This window comes from Homo sapiens, chromosome 3 (genome assembly GCF_000001405.40).
Source record: "Homo sapiens chromosome 3, GRCh38.p14 Primary Assembly".
Lineage (NCBI taxonomy): Eukaryota > Metazoa > Chordata > Mammalia > Primates > Hominidae > Homo > Homo sapiens.
The window spans coordinates 49,931,851-49,951,175 of record NC_000003.12 but is presented as its reverse complement, the minus strand read 5'-3'; the positions used below and the strand labels follow the sequence as shown (position 1 = coordinate 49,951,175).

The window sequence follows — 19,325 nt, the reverse complement described above, 5'->3', positions numbered from 1 at the left end:
CCTGACAACTATTTTCTGTTTCTATGATTTTCACTACTCAAAGTGTCTAAGTGAAATTATATGGTATTTGTCTTTTACATGACTGGCTTATTTCACTTAGCATAATATCCTCAAGGTTCATCCATGTTGTAGCATATGTCAGAATTACCTTCCTTCCTAACACTGAATAATTTTTCAGTTATATGTACATACCACATTTTCCTTATCTATTCATCCATCAATGAATAGTTGGGTTGCTTCCACATTTTAGCTAATGTGAATAACGCTGTTATGAACATGGGTACAAATATCTCATCGAGACTCTGTTTTTCTTTTTCTTTGTTTTCAATTATTTTGGATATATATCCAGAAGTAAAATTGTTAGATCACATGGTAATTCTATTTTTAATGTTTTGCCTTTCATTCTTTCTGTTTTTTTTTTTTGAAACAGTCTCCCTCTGTCACCCAGACTGTACCACAGTGACATGATCTCAGCTTACTGCAACCTCCGTCTCCCGGATTCAAGCGATTCTCCTGCCTCAGTCTCCCGAGTAGCTGGGATTACAGGCATGCACCACCACACCCAGCCAATTTTTGTATTTTTAGTAGAGACGGGGTTTCACCATGTTGGCCAGGCTGGTCTTGAACTCCTGACCTCAAATGATCCCACACCTTGGCCTCCCAAAGTGCTGGGATTACAAGCCTGAGTCACCACGCCTGGCCTTGCCTTTCACTCTTGATTAATAAAAACATTCCTAACAAATGCTTTCACTCTGGTCTATCTTGCAAAGAACCAGGAATTGCACCTCTAGCAGCACAGTACCAATATCCCAGGCCATCCTTCTTAATCATGACTTTAGCTCCAAAAAACAATGAAACAGAACCAGGGGTCTTATTCTAGTAGTTTTAGCTGTGGTATGCAGCAGCTTGATCCTGCTTTAAACACTCTTAATTTTTTCCCAAAGTAAATGTTGTGGGCTACACAGGACATTCAGCTAAGAGCATCAAGGAGACACCAAGAAGCAAGGGTTACTCTGACCGCCTACCCACTCCCTGGATCCAACTACAAGCTTTTAAACAGTAGCAACTTTAATATGCACTCAAGAACTGGAATTAGTGGCTGCTAGAAGCACCCTTGCCCCCCAAAATATCTCGATTTGAAAATTTTAAGTGTAGTCTGGGCCAGTGGCTCATGCCTGTAATCTCAGCACTTTAGGAGGCGGAGGCAGGCAGATCACTTGAGACCAGGAATTCAAAACCAGCCTGGCCAATATGGCGAAACCCCATTTCTACTAAAAATACATAAATTAGCTGAGCGTGGTGGTATACACCTGTAGTCCCAGTTACCCAGAAGGCTGAGAATAAAATAAATAAAATAAAAAAATAAAAAGGCTGGGCGTGGTAGCTCAGGCCTGTAATCCCAGCACTTTGGGAGGCGGGCGGATCACGAGGTCAGGAGATCAAGACCATCCTGGCAAAGACGGTGAAACCTTTTCTCCACTAAAAATACAAAAAATTGGCTGAGCACTGTGGCTCACGCCTGTATTCCCAGCACTTTGGGAGGCCAAAGTGGTCAGATCACAAAGTCATAAGATTGAAACCATCCTGGCCAACTGTTTCTACTAAAAATACAGAAATTAGCAGGGCATGGTGACAGGCGCCTGTAGTCCCAGCTACTCGGGAGGCTGAGGCAGGAGAATCGCTTGAACCCGGGAGGCAGAGGTTGCAATGAGCTGCGATCACACCACTGCACTCCAGCCTCGGGGACAGAGTGAGACTCCGTCTCAAAAAAAACAAGCAAACAAAAAAAAATGTTGTCCTGAAGGATTTTCCTCTCTGGGAGAATGTACTTCCGTTAAGTTTCAAATGAAGTGTTTTCTTTGATAAAGTAAGAGGGGGTAAGTAGGGGGAGGTAAGTAAAAAGAAGAATCAACAAGACCTATTCTTTTTATTTCATAATTTTTTATGATTCAGCAAAGCATTAACAAATGAAGAAGATTAAAGAATTTAAAAAGAAAAAAATAAAAATAATAAATTCTTGTATAATTATGGTAAAATATTTGGGTATGACCAGGCGTGGTGGCTCACACCTGTAGTCCCAGCACTTTGGGAGGCTGAGGCCAGCGGATCACAAGGTCAGAAATTTGAGACCAGCCTGGCCAATATAGTGAAACTCCATCTCTACTAAAAATACAAGAAATTAGCCAGGCGTGGTGGCAGGTACCTGTAACCCAGCTACTTGAGAGCCTGAGGCAGGAGAATTGCTTGAACCCAGGAGGCAGAGGTTGCAGTGAGCCAAGATCACGCCACAGCACTCCAGCCTGGGCGACAGTGCAAGACACCATCCCAAAAAAAAAAAAAAAAAAAAATTGGGTATGTAAATAGTCTCACTCTGTTGCCCAGGCTGGAGTGCAGGGTGCAATCTCAGCTCACTGCAACCTCTACCTCCTGGGTTCAAGCAATTCTTTTTTTTTTTTTTCTTTTTTGAGACAGAGTCTCACTCTGCTGCCAATCTAGAGTGCAGTGGCGCAATCTTGGCTCACTGCAACCTCCACCTCCTGGGTTCAAGTGATCCTCCTGCCTCAGCCTCCCAAGTAGCTGGGACTAGGTGCGCGCCACCACACCCAGCTAATTTTTTGTATTTTTAGTAGAGACTAGGTTTCATGACATTGGCCAGGATGGTCTCGATCTCTTGACCTGCCTCGGCCTCCCAAAGTGCTGGGATTACAGGCGTGAGCCACAGCACCAGGCCTCAAGCAATTCTTGTGCCTTAGCCTCCTGAGTAGCTGGAATTACAGGCACACACCACACCCAGCTAATTTTTGTATTTTAGTAAAATCGGGGTTTCACTATGTTGCCTAGGCTGGTCTCGAACCCCTGAGCACAGGCAATCTGCCCACCTCAGCCTCCTAAAGTGCTAAGATTATAGGCGTGAGCCACCGTGCCTGGCCTATTTTAACCATTTTTAAGTGTACCATTTAGCTACAGCCATCACAACAGTGCAGTAAGGACATAAAGATAGACATAAAGACCAATCAACTGAATGGAGAGACCAGAAATAAATCCTCACATATATGGTCAATTTTCTTTTTTTTTTAAGACAGATTCTCATGTCTCGCTCTGTCGCCCAGGCTGGAGGGCAGTGGCGCAATCTCAGCTCACTGCAGCCTCCACCTCCCAGTTCAAGCGATTCTCCTGCCTCAGCCTCCCGAGTAGCTGGGATTACAGCCAGGCACCACCATGCCCAGCTAATTGTGGTATTTTTAGTACAGACGGGATATTGCCATGTTGGCAAGGCTAGTCTTGAACTTTAGTCAACTGATTTTCAACAAAGGTGTCAAGACCATCCAATGGGGAAAGTACAATCTTTTTCCCAAATGGAAAATGGTACTCCGAAAACTGAATATCCACATGCATAACAATAAAGTGGGACTCTTACACAACAAAAATATATAAAAAATTAACTCAAATTGGATCAAAGACCCAAACGTAAGCGCTAAAACTATAAAATCTTAGGGGAAAAATTTCATGACTTTCGATTGGTAATATTTGCAGATGAGGCACAGATTTTAAAAAAAGAAGATAAATTGGACTTCATCAAAATGAAAACCTCTGTGCATCAAAAGACACTATCAACAGAGTATAAAGACAACCACAGAGAGAAAATATTTGTAAGTCAAATATCTGACAAGGAATTAATATCTAGAGTGTATAAAGGACTCCTAAAACTCAACAACACAGACAAAAACCTAATTTTATTTTATTTTTAGAGACTGGGCCACTCTGTCACCCAGGGTAGAGTCCAGTGGTGCAATCACAGCTCACTGCACCCTCAAACACCTGGGCTCAAGAGATCCACCTACCTCAGCCTCCTGAGCAGCTGGGAATACAGGTGTGCACCTGCACACCCAGCTCAAAACCCCCCCCCCCCCCCTTTTTTTTTTTGAGACGGAGTCTCGCTCTGTCGCCCAGGCTGGAGTGCAGTGGCTCAATCTCTGCTCACTGCGAGCTCTGCCTCCCAGGTTCACACCATCCTTCTGCCTCAGCCTCCCGAGTAGCTGGGACTACAGGCGCCTGCCACTGCGCCCGGCTAATTTTTTTTTTTTTTTTTTTTTGTATTTTTAGTAGAGACAGGGTTTCACCGTGTTAGCCAGGATGAAAAACCCCATTTTAAAATGGTCAACAAAAGACATGAATAGATACTTCTCCAAAAGAGAATATGCAAATAGCCAATAAGAACATGAACAGACGCTCAACATCACTTATCATCAGGGAAATGCAAATCAGAAACCACAATAAGATACCACTTCACATCCACTAGGATAGCTACTAATGAAAAAAAAAAAAACGAAACAGAAAATAGGCCGGGTGAGATGGCTCACACCTGTAATCCCAGCACCTTGGGAGGCCAAGGTGGACAGATCACTTGAGGTCAGGAGTTCAAGACCAGCCTGGCTAATATGGTGAAACCCTGTCTCTACTAAAATACAAAAATTAGCCAGGCGTGGTGGCACACGCCTGTAATCCCAGCTACCCGGGAGGCTGAGGCACAAGAATTGCTTCAATCTGGGAGGCAGAGGTTGCAGTGAGCCGAGATCATGCCACTTCACTCCGGCCTGGGCAACAGAGTGAGACTCTGTCTCAAAAAAAAAGAAAATGCCAGGCGCGGTGGCTCATGCTTATAATCCCAACACTTTGGGAGGCCAAGGCTGGCGGGTCACCTGACGTCAGGAGTTCAAGACCAGCCTGGCCAACATGGAGAAACACCATCTCAACTAAAATGCAAAAATTAGCTGGGCACGGTGGCGGCTGCCTGTAATCCCAGTTACTCGGGAGGCTGAGGCAGGAGAATCGCTTGAACCCGGGAGGTGGAGGTTGCAGTGAGCCAAGATTGTGCCACTGCACTCCAGCCTGCGTGACAGAGCGAGAATCTGTCTCCAAAAAAAAAAAAGAAAGAAAATAACAAGTGTTGGCCAGGATGTGGAGGATGCAGAGAAACTGAATTGAAACCTATATTACACAGTATGCTAGGACTGCCATAACAAAATACCATGGAGTGGAAGGCTTAAGCCACAGAAATTATTCTCACAGCTCTGGAGGCTGGGAGTCCAAGATCAAGGTGTCAGCAAGGTTTGTTTTAGGTGAGGTCTCTCTCCTTGGCTTGCAGGCAGCCCCCTTCTACCTCTGTCCTCATGCAGCTTTTTCTCTCTGTACACGCACTCCTGGTATCCAGTCCTTTTCTTACGAAGACAGCAGTCCTGCTGGATTAAGGTCTCATCCTTATATCTTCTTTTTTTTTTTTTTTTTTTTTTTTTGAGATGGAGTCTCGCTCTGTCGCCCAGGCTGGAGTGCAGTGGCGCGATTTTGGCTCACTGCAAGCTGTGCCTCCCGGGTTCACGCCATTCTCCTGCCCCAGCCTCCCCAGCAGCTGGGACTACAGGTGCATGCCGCCACGCCCGGTTAATGTTTTGTATTTTTAGTAGAGACGGGGTTTCACCGTGTTGGCCAGGATGGTCTCGATCTCCTGACCTTGTGATCCGCCTGCCTCAGCCTCCCAAAGTGCTGGGATTACAGGCATGAGCCACCCGCGCCCAGCCCCTTATGATATCTTCTAACTTTTTAATTTCTCTGTAAAGGTCCTATTTCCAAATACAGTCACACTGGGGCTTAGGGCTTCAACACGTGAATTTTCAGGGGGACACAATTCAGTCTATAACAAAACCTTTGTACACTGCTAACAGAATGTAAAATGGTGCAACCAGTGTGGAAAACAGTAAGGCAGTTCCTCAAAAAATGATACATAAAGCCTGGGCAACCTAGCGAAATCCCACAGCTACAAAAAAATAAAAAAATTAGTTAGGCATGGTGGCATGCACCTGTAGTCTCAGCTACTTAAGAGGGTGAGGTGAGAGGATAGCTTGAACTGAGAAGGTCAGGGCTGCAGAGAACTGTGACTGCACCACTGCACTCCAGCCTGGACAACAGAGCAAGACCCTGTCTAAAAAAAAAAAAAAAAAAAATTGGCCGGGCGCGGTGGCTCACGCCTGTAATCCCAGCACTTTGGGAGGCCAAGGCGGGCAGATCATGAGGTCAGGAGATGGAGACTATCCTGGCTAACACGGTGAAACCCCGTCTCTACTAAAAATACAAAAAATTAGCCGGGCGTGGTGGCGGATGCTGTAGTCCCAGCTACTCGGGAGGCTGAGGCAGGAGAATGGCAAGAACCCAGGAGGCGGAGCTTGGAGTGAGCCGAGATCACGCCACTGCACTCCAGCCTGGGCGACAGAGCAAGAATCCGTCTCAAAAAAAAAAATTTAAAAAAAAATTACACATAGAATTACCATTTGCTCTGTCAATTGTCGATTCCATTTCTGAGTATATATATTCCCAAAAGAAATGAAAGTAAAGACTTGATATTTGTGGCTGGGCGCGGTGGCTGACACCTGTAATTCCACCACTTTGGGAGGCCGAGGCAGGTTGATCACCTGAGGTCAGAAGTTCAAGACCAGCCTGCCCAACATGGCGAAACTCCTTCTCTACTAAAAATAAAAAAATTAGCTAGGCATGGTGGCGCACATCTGTAATCCCAGCTACTCGGGAGGCTGAGGCAGGAGAATGCCTTGAACCCAGGAGGCAGAGGTTGCAGTGAGCCAAGGTCGCGCCACTGCACTCCAGCCTGGGTGACAAGAGCGATACTGTCTCACAAAAAAAAAAAAAAAAAAGATATTTGTACACTGATATTCATAGCACCATTATATTCACAAGAGCAAAAAGGTGGAAACAACCCAAATGTCCATCAATAGATAAATGGATAAACAAAATGTGGTATATATGTATAATGGAATATTACTCAGCCTTAAAAAGGAATAAAATTCTGATACATACTACAAGATGGATGAATCCTGAAGATATTATGCTAAGTAAAATAAGCCATACACAAAAGATCAAATATTATATGATTCCACTTACATGAGATACCTAGAGTAGTCAAATTCATAGAGACAGAAAGCAGAATGGTGATTGTCAGGGGAGGAGAGAATAGGGAGTTACTATTCAATGGGTACAGAAACTCAGTTTGGGAAGATGAAAAAAGTTCTGAAGCTGGATTTTTATTATGGTTGCACAAAAAGAAGAATGTACTTACTACTACTAAGTAGCACACTTAAAAATGGGTAAAAAGGTACAAACAAGCAAAAACCAAGAAAACACAACGAGATACCACTTCACACCCATTAGGGTGGCTATCATCAAAACACACAAATAAAAAACCACATATACACACACAAATTTATCAAAAAAGGAAAAACAGAAAATAAGTGTTGGGGAGGATGTGGGAAAATTGGAACCCTTGTGTATTACTGGTGGGAATGTAAAACGATGCAGCCATTGAGGAAAACAGTATGGTGGGTCCTCAAAAAGCTAAACATATAATAACCAAGTATCAACTGGGTGCAGTGGCTCATGCCTGTAATACCAGTACCTTGAGAGGCCAAGGAGGGAAAATGGCTTGAGGCCAGGAGTTTGAGACCAGCATAGGCAACATAGGGAGACCCTGTCTCCACAAAAAAATTAAAATAAAAAAATTATGGGCCAGATGTGGTGGCTCATGCCTGTAATGCCAGCACTTCGGGAGGCCAAGACAGGAGGATCACTTGAACTCAGGAGTTCGAGACCACCCTAGACAACAAGGCAAGACTTCATCACAAAAAATAAAAATTAAACAAAAAAATTAGCTGGTTGTGGCAGCCCATGCCTGTAGTCCCAGCTACTCAGGAAGCTGAGGCGGGATGACTGCTTGAGCTCGAGTTCGAGGCTGCAGTGAGCCATGACTGTGCCACTGAACTCCAGCCTGGGCAACAGAGCAAGACCCTGTCTCAAAAAAAAATAAATAAAATAATTAATAATAATAATAATTACCATATAGCAATTTCCCTTCTGGGTATATACCCAAAAGAATTCAAAGCAGGGACTCAAAGAGATATTTGTACACCAATGATCACAGCATCATTATTTACAATAGTCAAAAGGCAGAAGCAACCCAAGTGTCTGCTACAAATGAATTAATAAACAAAATGTAGTGTACACACACAACGGATTAAGCCTTAAAAAGGAATGAAATTCTGATACACAGTACAACATGGATCAACCTTGAAACCATTACACTAAGTGAAATAAACCAGACACAAAAAAGGACAATACTGTATGATTCCATTTAGTATTTGCAGTACCTAGAACAAGCACACTCACAGACAGACACAAAGTAGATTAGAGATTAAGAGGAGGAAATGGGAAGTTAACTTGTTTAATGGTTACAGTTTCTTTTTTTCTTTTTTTTTGAGATGGAGTCTGGCTGTGCAGCCCAGGCTGAAGTGCAATGGCATGACCTCAGCTCACTGCAACCTCTGCCTCCTTAGTAGCTGGTGTTACAGATGCATGCCACCATGCATGGCTAATTTTTGTATTTTTAGTAGATACGGGGTTTCACCATGTTGGCCAGGCTGTTCTTGAACTCCTGAACTCAAGTGATCTGCCCACGTTGACCTCCCAAAGTGCTGGGATTACAGGCGTGAGCCACCATGCCCTCCCTGGTTACAGAGTTTCTGTTTGAGATACTAAAGTTTCAGAAATAGTGGTATTGCTTGTACTACATTGTGAATGTAATTAATACCATTGAATTGTATACTTTTTTTTTTTTTTTTTGAGATGGAGTCTCGGAGTCTCGCTCTGTTGCCCAGGCTGGAGTGCAGTGGCGCAATCTCGGCTCACTGCAAGCTCCGCCTCTCGGGTTCACACCATTCTCCTGCCTCAGCCTCCTGAGTACCTGGGACTACAGGCGCCCACCACCACGCACGGCTCATTTTTTGTATTTTTAGTAGAGATGGGGTTTCACCGTGTTAGCCAGGATGGTCTCGATCTCCTGACCTCGTGATCCGCCCACCTCGGCGTCCCAAAGTGCTGGGATTACAGGCGTGAGCCACCGTGCCTGGCTGAATTGTATACTTAACAATGGTTTAAAGAGCAAATTTTGTTAAAATATACATAAACATACATAAAAATATATATTTACCACAATTTATTTAATTGATTTTTTTTTTTTTGAGACAGTCTTGTTCTGTGGCCCAGGTTGGAGTGCAGTGGCACTATCTCCCCTTACTACAACCTCTACCTCCCCGGCTCAAGCGATTTTTCCATCTCAGCCTCCTGAGTAGTTAGGGCTAACAGGAGCATGCCACCACGCCTGGCTAATTTTTTTTTTTTGTATTTTTTGTAGAGACAGGGTTTTGCGATGTTGCCCAGGCTCACAATTTGTTTTAGAAATACTATAACAGGGCCGGGCACGGTGGCTCACGCCTGTAATCCCAGCACTTTGGGAGGCCAAGGCAGGTGGATCACCTGAGGTCAGTAGTTCAAGACCAGCCTGGCCAACATAGCGAAACTCCGCCTCTACTAAAAAAATACAAAAAATTAGCTGGGCATAAGGCGAAACGCTGCCTCTACTATGTTGGTTTTTGTTGAGTTTTGCGGGTTTTTTTTTTTTTTTTTTTTTTTTTTTTTTGAGACAGAGTTTCACTCTTGTGGCCCAGGCTGGAGTGCAATGGAGCAATCTCAGCTCACCGCAACCTCCGCCTCCCAGGTTCAAGCGATTCTCCTGCCTCAGCCTCCCAAGTAGCTGGGATTACAGGCATGTGCCACCATGCCCGGCTAATTTTGTACTTTTAGTAGAGACGCGGTTTCTCCATGTTAGTCAGGCTGGTCTCGAACTCCCCACCTCAGCCTCCCAAAGTGCTGGGATTACAGGTGTGAGCCACCAGGCTCGGCCTGGTAATAGAATTCTATAAGGAAAGGTGCTACAACTATCCAGAGAGACCTGGGACCTGTCCTGCAGGTTAGGTATCTAGTTAGATGCTAGTTTCTGAGACAAGGTTCAAATTCAACTTTTGTGTTTCACCAAAATGGTAACATATTATTTAGTTACTTTCTTCACTGCCAGTCCTACCATCACGCACCAGCTCTTGACACCTCTCGTTAGAGACCTCACAAATTCAGTAATGGTGACATATTTAAATCATTCACGCTGGTGGCATTTCTCAATAGGAAGGTGGAAACTAGCAAGCCGAGGGCACAATCCAGGGTTCAGAAAATGAACCAGGTGACCATGTCTGCATGTCTACTGAACTCCTTCACTTAAATCCGGCTACTCTGACCTTCACAAGCAAACCTGGAATATGCAAAAAATACAATTACGCTCACGGTTTATGTACCCTACGAAACAGGGCCCTTCCTTCAAAAAAAAAAAAAAAAAAAAGGCATTCCCAAAGTTGAACCCATTCGCCTAACGTCAATTCTAAAATAAAGAGAAAAACATCTATTTACACCGCTAATGGAATCTAAAGCGTGAATACGATAAAACATCCTTCTCCTTCATTGCCTAACGGGCGCAGAACCCACCAGACCACTCTCCCGCTTCCAGGTTCTACCGCCCCGACGACCGGGCTCGGAGCTCTTGTGCCCTCCGGTCCAGCGGAGCCTCCCTTGTGTCTGTCCAAGTCTGAGGACGAGGCTACGTGCTAAGCACAAGAGCTCCCTTCCTAGTGATGCCACAGAATTGGATCTGAAACAGGAAAACCGCAAGAACAGCCCGCTTACAGCTCCGAAGAGTAGGAGCACAGAGCCGCAACCACGCGCCGGCCCCAGCCTCACAGCTGGCCGCTCCGCGGCGGGACCGGTAATCTACTGCCGCGCCGGGCCCCGCCCCAGGCCCGCGACGGTTCCGGGGCGTTCCTGCCACGGGCGGCGCCTCCCTCATCTCACCGTTGCTTGGTCTTCTTCCCGAGCGAGGCCGCAGCCGCCCCGCGACACTGAAGCCACAGCTTTCAGGCTGCGCGGGCCTGCGATGTCTAGAGCGGGCCTGTCTGCTGGCTATTCCCTGGCAGGCTCTGGCACGCCTCCCCTCCAGTCCCGGGCCCTTACCTAGGCGGCGAAGCCTCCACGGCCCGCTCCTCCTTCTCCTCAGCCTCCGCCACCGACCCAGCGCCGCGGACACCGGAACTTCCTCCGCGCGGGGCCACTGCTACCACAAAGGCGCCGCGCCGCTGCCTTCAGCGCTCGGCCCGCTGGGAGATGAAGTACAGCTGCCGGTCCCGCAGACTCTTACTCCCGCCGTGCCCCGCGCGCAGGGGACTTGCCTTCTGGGGTGGGTCGTAAGAGCACGCTGTCCATCGCCATCCAATAAGAAGGCGCGCTTACCCGCCCTACTCCGCGTGACCTGCTGGGAGTTGTGGTTTGGCCTCTGCCCTGTGACACCTGGTCCTCTTGTGCTTTCCTCTCAGTTGATTGAGGCTTACAGTTTTTTGGTGGCTTGACTTTCCTGAGGTTTGCTCCCTGCCAGCAGCTCGGGTACGGCCCTGGCCTGCCTAGCTCGAGGCCTCCTTATTGTCCGTTAGTGTGAGAGAAATGGAAGGGAGCTTCTTCGGGAGTAAGTTTAAGCCATCTCCAGCTGGTTGGCGGGGCGCGGTGGCTCACGCCTGTAATCCCAGCACTTTGGTAGGCCGCGGCGAGTGGACCACCTGAGGTCAGGAGTTCTAGACCAGCCTGGCCAACATGGTGAAACCCCATCTCTACCAAAAATACAAAAATTACCCGGGCTTGGTGGCAGGTGCCTGTAATCCCAGCTACTCGGGAGGCTGAGGCAGGAGAATCACTTAAACCCGGGAGGCAGAGGCAGAGGTTGCAGTGAGCCGACACTGTGCCACTGCACTCCAGCCTGGACAATAGAGCAAGACTCCACCTCAGAAAAAAAGAAAGAAAGAAAAAGGCCGGGCGCAGTGGCTCATGCTTGTAATCCTAGCACTTTGGGAGGCCGAGGTGGGTGGATCACGAGGTCAGGAGTTCAAGACCAGCCTGGCCAAGATAGTGAAACCCCATCGCTACTAAAAATACAAAAAGTAGCCAGGCGTGGTGGCGCATGCCTGTAATCCCAGCTACTCAGGAGGCTGAGGCAGAGAATTGCTTGAACCCGGGAAGCACAGGTTGCAGTGAGCCGAGATCGCGCCACTGCACTGTTGCCTGGCAACAGCGCAAGACTCCGTCTCAAAAGAAAGAAAGAAAGAAAGAAGTTGGGCGCAGTGGCTCACGACTGTAATCCCAGCACTGTGGGAGGCCGAGGCGGGTGGATCACGAGGTCAGGAGATCAAGACCATCCTGGCTAACACGATGAAACCCTGTCTCTACTAAAAACACAAAAAATTAGTGGAGCGTGGTGGCGGGCACCTGTAGTCCCAGCTACTCAGGAGGCTGAGGCAGGAGAATGACGTGAACCCGGGAGGCGGAGCTTGCAGTGAGTCGAGATAGCGCCACTGCACTCCAGCCTAGGCGACAGAGGGAGACTGTCGCAAAAAAAAAAAAAAATTACCCGGGCTTGGTGGCAGGCGCCTGTAATCCCAGCTACTCGGGAGGCTGAGGCAGGAGAATCACTTAAACCCGGGAGGCAGAGATTGCAGTGAGCCTAGACTGTGTCACTGCACTCCAGCCTGGACAATAGAGCAAGACTCCGTCTCAGAAAAAAGGAAAGAAAGAAAGAGGCCGGGCGCAGTGCCTCACGCTTGTAATCCTAGCACTTTGGGAGGCCGAGGCGGGTGGATCACGAGGTCAGGAGTTCAAGACCAGTCTGGCCAAGATGGTGAAACCCCGTCTCTACTAAAAATACAAAAATTACCCGGGCGTGGTGGCGCATGCCTGTAATCTCAGCTACTCAGGAGGCTGAGGCAGAGAATTGCTTGAACCCGGGAGGCGGATGTTGCCGTGAGCCGAGATCGCGCCACTGCACTCCAGCCTCACAACAGAGCAAGACTCCGTCTCAAAAAAGAAAAAGAAAGAGGTTGGGCGCAGTGGCTCACGCTTGTAATCCCAGCACTTTGGGAGGCCGCGGCGGGCGGATCACGAAGTCAGGAGATCGAGACCATCCTGGCTAACACGGTGAAACCCTGTCTCTACTAAAAATACAAAAAATTAGCCGAGCGTGGCGGCAGCCGCCTGTAGTCCCAGCTACTGGGGAGGCTGAGGCAGGAGAGTGGCATGAACCCGGGAGGCGGAGCTTGCAGTGAGCCGAGATTTGCGCCACTGCACACCAGCCTGGGCGACAGAGCAAGACTCCGTCTGAAAAAAAAGAAAGAAAGAAAAGGGGCTGATGGCCGTGCACCCACAGAAGGCCCTGGCTCCTGGCCCTCCCAGCCCTTCTACCTGAAACCTGACAATAGGTACAACAGAAAAACTTGGATTAGAGAATCAATATGTCATGGAGGCTCATCCCCTTTTCCTTTATCTCCATGCATTTGCTCATAATCTATTCTTTTTCTTTCTTTCTTTCTTTTTTTTAGAGACAAGGTCTCACTATGTTGCCCAGGCTGGTCTCGAACTCCTGAACTAAAGCAATTTCCTTCCCCTCCACTCAGCCCCTTTTCCTTCTGATGAGTTTCCAAATTATGTATTCCCTGCTCAAGAATAGCAGACAGGCTCATGCCTGTAATCCCAGCATTTTGGGAGGCCAAAGTGGGCGGGTCACCTGAGGTCAGGAGTTCAAGACCAGCCTGACCACCATGGTGAAACCTCGTCTCTACTAAAAATACAAAAATTAGCCAGGCACGGTGGCAGGCGCCTGTAATCCCCAGCTGGTCGGGTGGCTGAGGCAGGAGAATCGCTTGAACCCGGGAGGTGGAGGTTGCAGTGAGGTGAGATCACACCAGTGCACTCCAGCCTGGGGGACAGAGCAAGACTCCATCTCAAAAACAAACAAAACAAAAAAAAAAACTTCATCTGTGTTAAAGGTTCAACCCATAAAGGAAAAGCCACCCAGCTTCCACAGGTCTTGCTAGCTCTTGGGCAATAAATCTGGCCAAGACTGACTTGTGCAAGGTCACAGAGGAGCTGGAAGGAAACTGCAAGTCAGCAATCTAGCAGAAAACGGGGCAACACAACTCGATTTGCAGCTCGTTTCCAGCATCTTCAACCTAATGTTCTTCCAACTGCCAGCTTGAAGTTCTTAGGTGTACTGTCTACATTGTTGAAAGACTTGCTAGTCTTGGCCATCTGGTGTTCCTGTCAGTGGGCCCTTAGGGAAGGTAACCTGATTTTATAGCCTAAATTCAACATTATGGGATCAAAAAAGTCTTCTGCAAGAAAAGCCCATTAAACATTCAAAAATAAAGTACACTTAGGCCAGGAATGGAGGCTTACGCCTGTAATCCCAGCACTTTGGGAGGCTGAGGTGGGTGGATCATGAGTTAACAAGTACAAGACCAGCCTGGCCAACATGGTGAAACCCCGTCTCTACTAAAAATTCAAAAATTAGCTAGGCATGGTGGCACACACCTGTAATCCCAGCTACTCGGGAAGCTGAGGCAGGAGAATCACTTGAACCCGGGAGGCAGAGGTTGCAATGAGCCAAGATCGCACCATTGCACTCCAGCTCTGGGCAATTGAGCGAGACTGTCTCAAAGGCTGGGCGTGGTGGCTCACGCCTGTAATCCCAGACTTTGGGAGGCCGAGGCAGGCAGATCACGACGTCAAGAGATCGAGACCATTCTGGCCAACATGGTGAAACCCCGTCTCTACTAAAAATACAAAAATTAGCTGGGCTTGGTGGCGTGTGCCTGTGGTCCCAGCTACTTGGGAGGCTGAGGCAGGAGAATTGCTTGAACCCTGGAGACAGAGGTTGCAGTGAGCTGAGATTGTGCCACTGCACTCCAGCCTGGTGACAGAGACTCCAACTCAAAAAAAGAAAAAAAAAAAGATACACAATCTCTCTGGTGGTGGTAATGCTATGGAGAAAAATAAGGGAGGGAAGGAGAGTGAGGAGTTCTGGTGGGAAGTTGTAACTTTAGAGCAGTGAGGGAAGGCCTCACTGAGCTCTTGGAATAAAGACCCAAAGAAGATGAGAACCAAGCTATTGGGATACCTGGGGAAAGAATGTTCTGAACAGAAAGAATAGCAAGGCCAAAGGCCCTGAGGTATGAGCATGACTAGAATTTTTAAGGATCATTAAGGAGTCTGGAACAGAATTGTTTTGGAGAAGTGTGATGAGACAAGTCAGTCTTGGTCAGAAAGGTGTGGAGGTTGCAGTACAGTGGCACGATCATAGCTCACTACAGCCTCGAACTCCTGGGTTCAAACAATGTGGTTGGATTATTGCAGCAGCCTCCCAACTAGCTGTTCTGCTTCTCCCCTTTCCCACCTTCAGTCTGTTTTCCACACAGCAATCAGAGGAATCCTGTTAACATGGAATTCAGGTTATGATATCTCTCTGTTCAGAGCCCTCTAACAACTTTCCATCTCCCTCCTTACAGAAACCAAATTCAGCAGCCTACAAGACTTGGAAGAAGCCACAATCATGCCACTGTATTTCAGCCTGAGCAACAGAGCAAGACCCCATCTCAAGGAAAAAAAAATTCCAACCACAGAAGGATGGTGCTTGCAGCAGTGTGGCCACAGTAGAAACAGGAGACAGACCTGTTGGACTGGAATGAAGGAAGATAGGGAAGAATTTGGGAGAAACAGTTTTGGTAGGAAGAGCAGGAGCTCAGTTTTGGGTAGGTAGAGTTTTCTAATAACCAGTAGACAAGTGAGATGTGGAGCTGGAAGTCGGTTCCATCAGTCTGGAGTTCAGGATAAAGATCAGGACTAGAGATGCAAATCTGGGAGGTATCAGCATGTTGCTAATATCTAAAGCCACAGGCCTGGATGAGATAACCAAGGGAGTAAAGGAGTAAGCAGAGATGGGAAAGCAAAGTTTAAGCCTTGAACACCTAGGCCACACCAGTGCTAACAGGTTTCAGGGAAGAGGAGGAACAGAACTATGGGTATTTTGGCCAGGTGCGGTGGCTCATGCCTGTAATCCCAGCACTTTGGGAAGGCCAAGGTGGGTGGATCACCTGAGTTCAGGAGTTTGAGACCAGTCTAGCCAACATGGTGAAACCTCATCTCTAATAAAAATGCAAAAATTAGCTGGGCATGGTGGCAGGCACCTGTAATCCCAGCTACTCAGGAGGCTGAGGCAGGAAAATCGCTTGAACCTGGGAGGTGGAGGATGCAGTGAGCCAAGATCACACCACTGCACTCTAGCCTGCGCAACAGAGTGAGACTGTCTAAAAAAAAAAAAAAAAAAAAAAAAAAAGAATTATGGGTATTTTGACTTTGCTTCTCAAACTAGGCCCTAGGCCTTTACTGATGGATCTTTCACTTATCAGATAATACTTTATCCTCTTAAGAGGTATATACCATATTAAGGAACTAATTATTATTGGTTTAGGCCCAATCTCCTTGGGTAATAATAATTGCTACACTTTATCAAACCACGTGCCTGGCATGGTGCTGGCACTTCATCTATGATTTCATTTAATCCTCGTAATAACTATATGACATTATCCCCTGTTTTTTGAGATGGAGTCTCGCTCTGTCACCAGGCTGGAGTGCAGTGGCACAATCTCGGCTCACTGTGACCTCCGCCTCCCCGGCTCAAGCGATTCTTCCATCTTAGCCTCCCGAGTAGCTGGGACAATAGGCACATGCCACCACATCCAGCTAATTTTTGTATTTTTAGTAGAGACAGGGTTTCACTATGTTGGCCAGAATGGTCTTGATCTCTTGACCTCATGACCACCTGCCTCAGCCTCCCAAAGTGCTGGATTACAGGCATGAGCCACTAGCCTGGCCAATATTATCCCCTTTTATAGTTTTTTTTTTTTTTTCCAAGACAGTCTTGCTCTTTCACCCAGGCTGAAGTGCAGTGGCGCGATCTCGGCTCACCGCAACCTCTGCCTCCGCCTCCGCCTCCACCTCCAGGGTTCAAACGATTCTCCTGCCTCAGCCTCCTGAGTAGCTGAGATTACAGGCTCACACCACCATGCTCAGCTAATTTTTTGGTAGTTTTAGTAGAGACGGGGTTTCAGCATCTTGGCCAGGCTGGTCCCGAACTCCTGACCTCAGGTGATCCACCCACCTCGGCTTCCCAAAGTTCTGGGATTATAGGCATGAACCACCACTCCCTGCCTCCCCTTTTATAGTTAAGGAAACCAGAGCCCAGAAAGGTTAAGTAACTTGCCACAGCTGAAAAGTGAAGGCGGAAGAAATGTAACAATTAGACGTCTTGTTCTTCCCCATATTTCTTCTCTTTTCTAGCTTTAGTGAAGATGTCAGAACCTGAGGTGCTGCAAGGTTATAACTCAAGTGTATCCTTGCTGGGTGTGTAGTCTTAATTACTCAGGAGGCTGATGTGGGAGGATGGCTTGGGCCCAGTAGTTCCTGGCCAGTCTGGGCAACATATTGAGACTCTGTCTCAATATAAAAATAAAAACAGTCCAGGCACAGTGGCTCACACCTGTAATCCCAACACTTTGGGAGGCCAAGGTAGGAGGATTGCTTGAGCCCAGGAGTTCCAGACCAGCCTGGGCAACATAAGGAGACGCCATTTCTACAAAAAATTTAAAACTTGCCCAATGTGGTGGCACACACTTGTGGTCCCAGCCACTCGGGAGGCTGAAGTGGGAGGATCACTTAGGCCCAGGAGGTCAAGGCTGCAGTGAGCCACTGCACTACAGCCTGGGTGACAGATTAAGACCCTGACTCAAAAAACAAACAAGGCCGGGCATGGGGGCTCATGCCTGTAATCCCAGCACTTTGGGAGGCCGAGGTGGGTGGATTGCCTGAGGTCGGGAGTTCGAGACCAGCCTGACCAACATGGAGAAACCCCATCTCTACTAAAAATACAAAATTAGCCGGGTGTGGTGGCACATGCCTGTAATCTCAGCTACTTGGGAGGCTAAGGCAGGAAAATCGCCTGAACCCGGGAGAAGGAGGTTGTGGTGAGCCGAGATCGCACCATTGCACTTCAGCCTGGGCAACAAGAGTGAAACACCGTTTCAAAAAAAAAAAAAAAAGTGGATTAAAACAAAGTTTTAAGTAATAACCTAAGATGTTTTAGTAAGTACCCACCATGATTTGCTCTGCGAGAATGTCTTAGGCACAAGTCTTAGCGAGAAATATATGAGATATATGGCCACTTGCTTAGCTAAGTAGATGTAATACTTCCAGATGACAGTAGTACTATCTGGTGGAGCTGATGTGCTTAACAGGAATAGTAAGACTCTGGAAGAAATCCTGAGCTAAACATGGAGACTGTCAAGAACTAGTTAGGTAGAAAACTTTAAATTTGGTCAGGCGCAGTGGCTCACACCTGTAATCCCAGCACTTTGGGAGGCCGAGGTGGGTGGATGCGGATCACAAGGTCAGGAGTTCGAGATCAGCCTGGCCAACATTGGTGAAACCCCGTCTCTACTAAAAATACAAAAATTAGGCTGGACGCAGTGGCTCACGCCTGTAATCCCAGCACTTTGGGAGGCCGAGGCGGGCGGATCACAAGGTCAAGAGATTGAGACCATCCTGGCCAACATGGTGGAACCCCATCTCTACTAAAAATAAAAAAATTAGCTGGGCATGGTGGTGCATGCCTGTAGTCCCAGCTACTTGGGAGGCTGAGGCAGGAGAATCGCTTGAACGTGGGAGGCTAAGGTTGCAGTGAGCCGAGATAGTGCCACTGCACTCCAGACTGGGTGACTGAGCAAGACTTCATCTCAAAAAAACAAAACAAAACAAAAAACTGGCCGGGCGCAGTGGCTCATACCTGTAATCCCAGCACTTTGGGAGGCCGAGATGGATGAATCACGAGGTCAGGAGTTCGAGACCAGTCTGACCAACATGGTGAAACATGTCTCTACTAAAAATACAAAAATCACAAAAATTTGCCGGGCGTGGTGGTACGCACCTGTAATCCCAGCTACTCTGGAGGCTGAGGCAGGAAAATTGCTTGAACGCGGGAGGCGGAGGTTGCAGTGAGCTGAGATCACGTCACTGCACTCCAGCCTGGGCAACAGAGCGAGACTCCGTCTCAAAAAAAAAAAAAAAAAGAAAACTTTAAATTTGTCTTCTGGGCGGGGTGTGGTGGCTCATGCCTGTAATCCCAGCACTTTGGGAGGCTGAGGCGGGTGGATCACGAGGTCAGGAGTTCAAGACCAGCCTGGCCAAGATGGTGAAACCCTGTCTCTACTAAAAATACAAAAATTAGCTGGGCGTGGTGGTAGGTACCTGTAATCCCAGCCACTCGGGAGGCTGAGGCAGAGAACTACTTGAACCCAGAAGGCAGAGGTTGCAGTGAGCTGAGATGGCACCACTGCACTCTAGCCTGGATGATAGAGACTTCATTTGAAAAAAAATAAGTAAATTAAATTAATTTGTCTTCTATGGAGATGAATTCTATAGGGTGTAAATTCAAGTTAATGAAATATAGGCAGGATATT

The 19,325-nt window shown here is 47.4% G+C and overlaps 1 protein-coding gene across 13 annotated transcripts in view, besides 7 other annotated features; it reads right to left on the bottom strand.

Moving 5' to 3' along the window:
* The window catches only part of RBM6 (RNA binding motif protein 6), a 137,100-nt gene extending 126,074 nt beyond the window's left edge, over nucleotides 1-11,026 (bottom strand). For 11 of the 13 annotated variants that reach the window (NR_146071.2, NM_001349192.2, NM_001349193.2 and 8 more), the window contains exon 1: nucleotides 10,951-11,026. The gene's annotated coding sequence lies outside the window, so the exon portion shown is untranslated. Of the gene's footprint in view, nucleotides 1-10,791 lie in introns of all 13 variants that reach the window. The other 2 variants (XM_047447131.1, XM_047447137.1) reach the window with 1 other exon arrangement.
* Nucleotides 3,917-3,986: a silencer, noted in NCBI's record as "silent region_14379". NCBI's record gives its function as "represses an Ori minimal core promoter by ATAC-STARR-seq in GM12878 lymphoblastoid cells {active_cell/tissue: GM12878}" and the evidence as "EXISTENCE:reporter gene assay evidence [ECO:0000049][PMID:35858748]".
* Nucleotides 10,352-10,873: an enhancer, noted in NCBI's record as "H3K27ac hESC enhancer chr3:49977736-49978257 (GRCh37/hg19 assembly coordinates)". NCBI's record gives its function as "activates a minimal SCP1, AML or CMV promoter by ChIP-STARR-seq in primed H9 embryonic stem cells {active_cell/tissue: H9 hESC(primed)}" and the evidence as "EXISTENCE:reporter gene assay evidence [ECO:0000049][PMID:30033119]".
* Nucleotides 10,596-10,795: a silencer, noted in NCBI's record as "silent region_14378". NCBI's record gives its function as "represses an Ori minimal core promoter by ATAC-STARR-seq in GM12878 lymphoblastoid cells {active_cell/tissue: GM12878}" and the evidence as "EXISTENCE:reporter gene assay evidence [ECO:0000049][PMID:35858748]".
* Nucleotides 10,874-11,396: an enhancer, noted in NCBI's record as "H3K27ac hESC enhancer chr3:49977213-49977735 (GRCh37/hg19 assembly coordinates)". NCBI's record gives its function as "activates a minimal SCP1, AML or CMV promoter by ChIP-STARR-seq in primed H9 embryonic stem cells {active_cell/tissue: H9 hESC(primed)}" and the evidence as "EXISTENCE:reporter gene assay evidence [ECO:0000049][PMID:30033119]".
* Nucleotides 10,936-10,995: an enhancer, noted in NCBI's record as "active region_19886". NCBI's record gives its function as "activates an Ori minimal core promoter by ATAC-STARR-seq in GM12878 lymphoblastoid cells {active_cell/tissue: GM12878}" and the evidence as "EXISTENCE:reporter gene assay evidence [ECO:0000049][PMID:35858748]".
* Nucleotides 11,026-11,075: an enhancer, noted in NCBI's record as "active region_19885". NCBI's record gives its function as "activates an Ori minimal core promoter by ATAC-STARR-seq in GM12878 lymphoblastoid cells {active_cell/tissue: GM12878}" and the evidence as "EXISTENCE:reporter gene assay evidence [ECO:0000049][PMID:35858748]".
* Nucleotides 11,106-11,165: an enhancer, noted in NCBI's record as "active region_19884". NCBI's record gives its function as "activates an Ori minimal core promoter by ATAC-STARR-seq in GM12878 lymphoblastoid cells {active_cell/tissue: GM12878}" and the evidence as "EXISTENCE:reporter gene assay evidence [ECO:0000049][PMID:35858748]".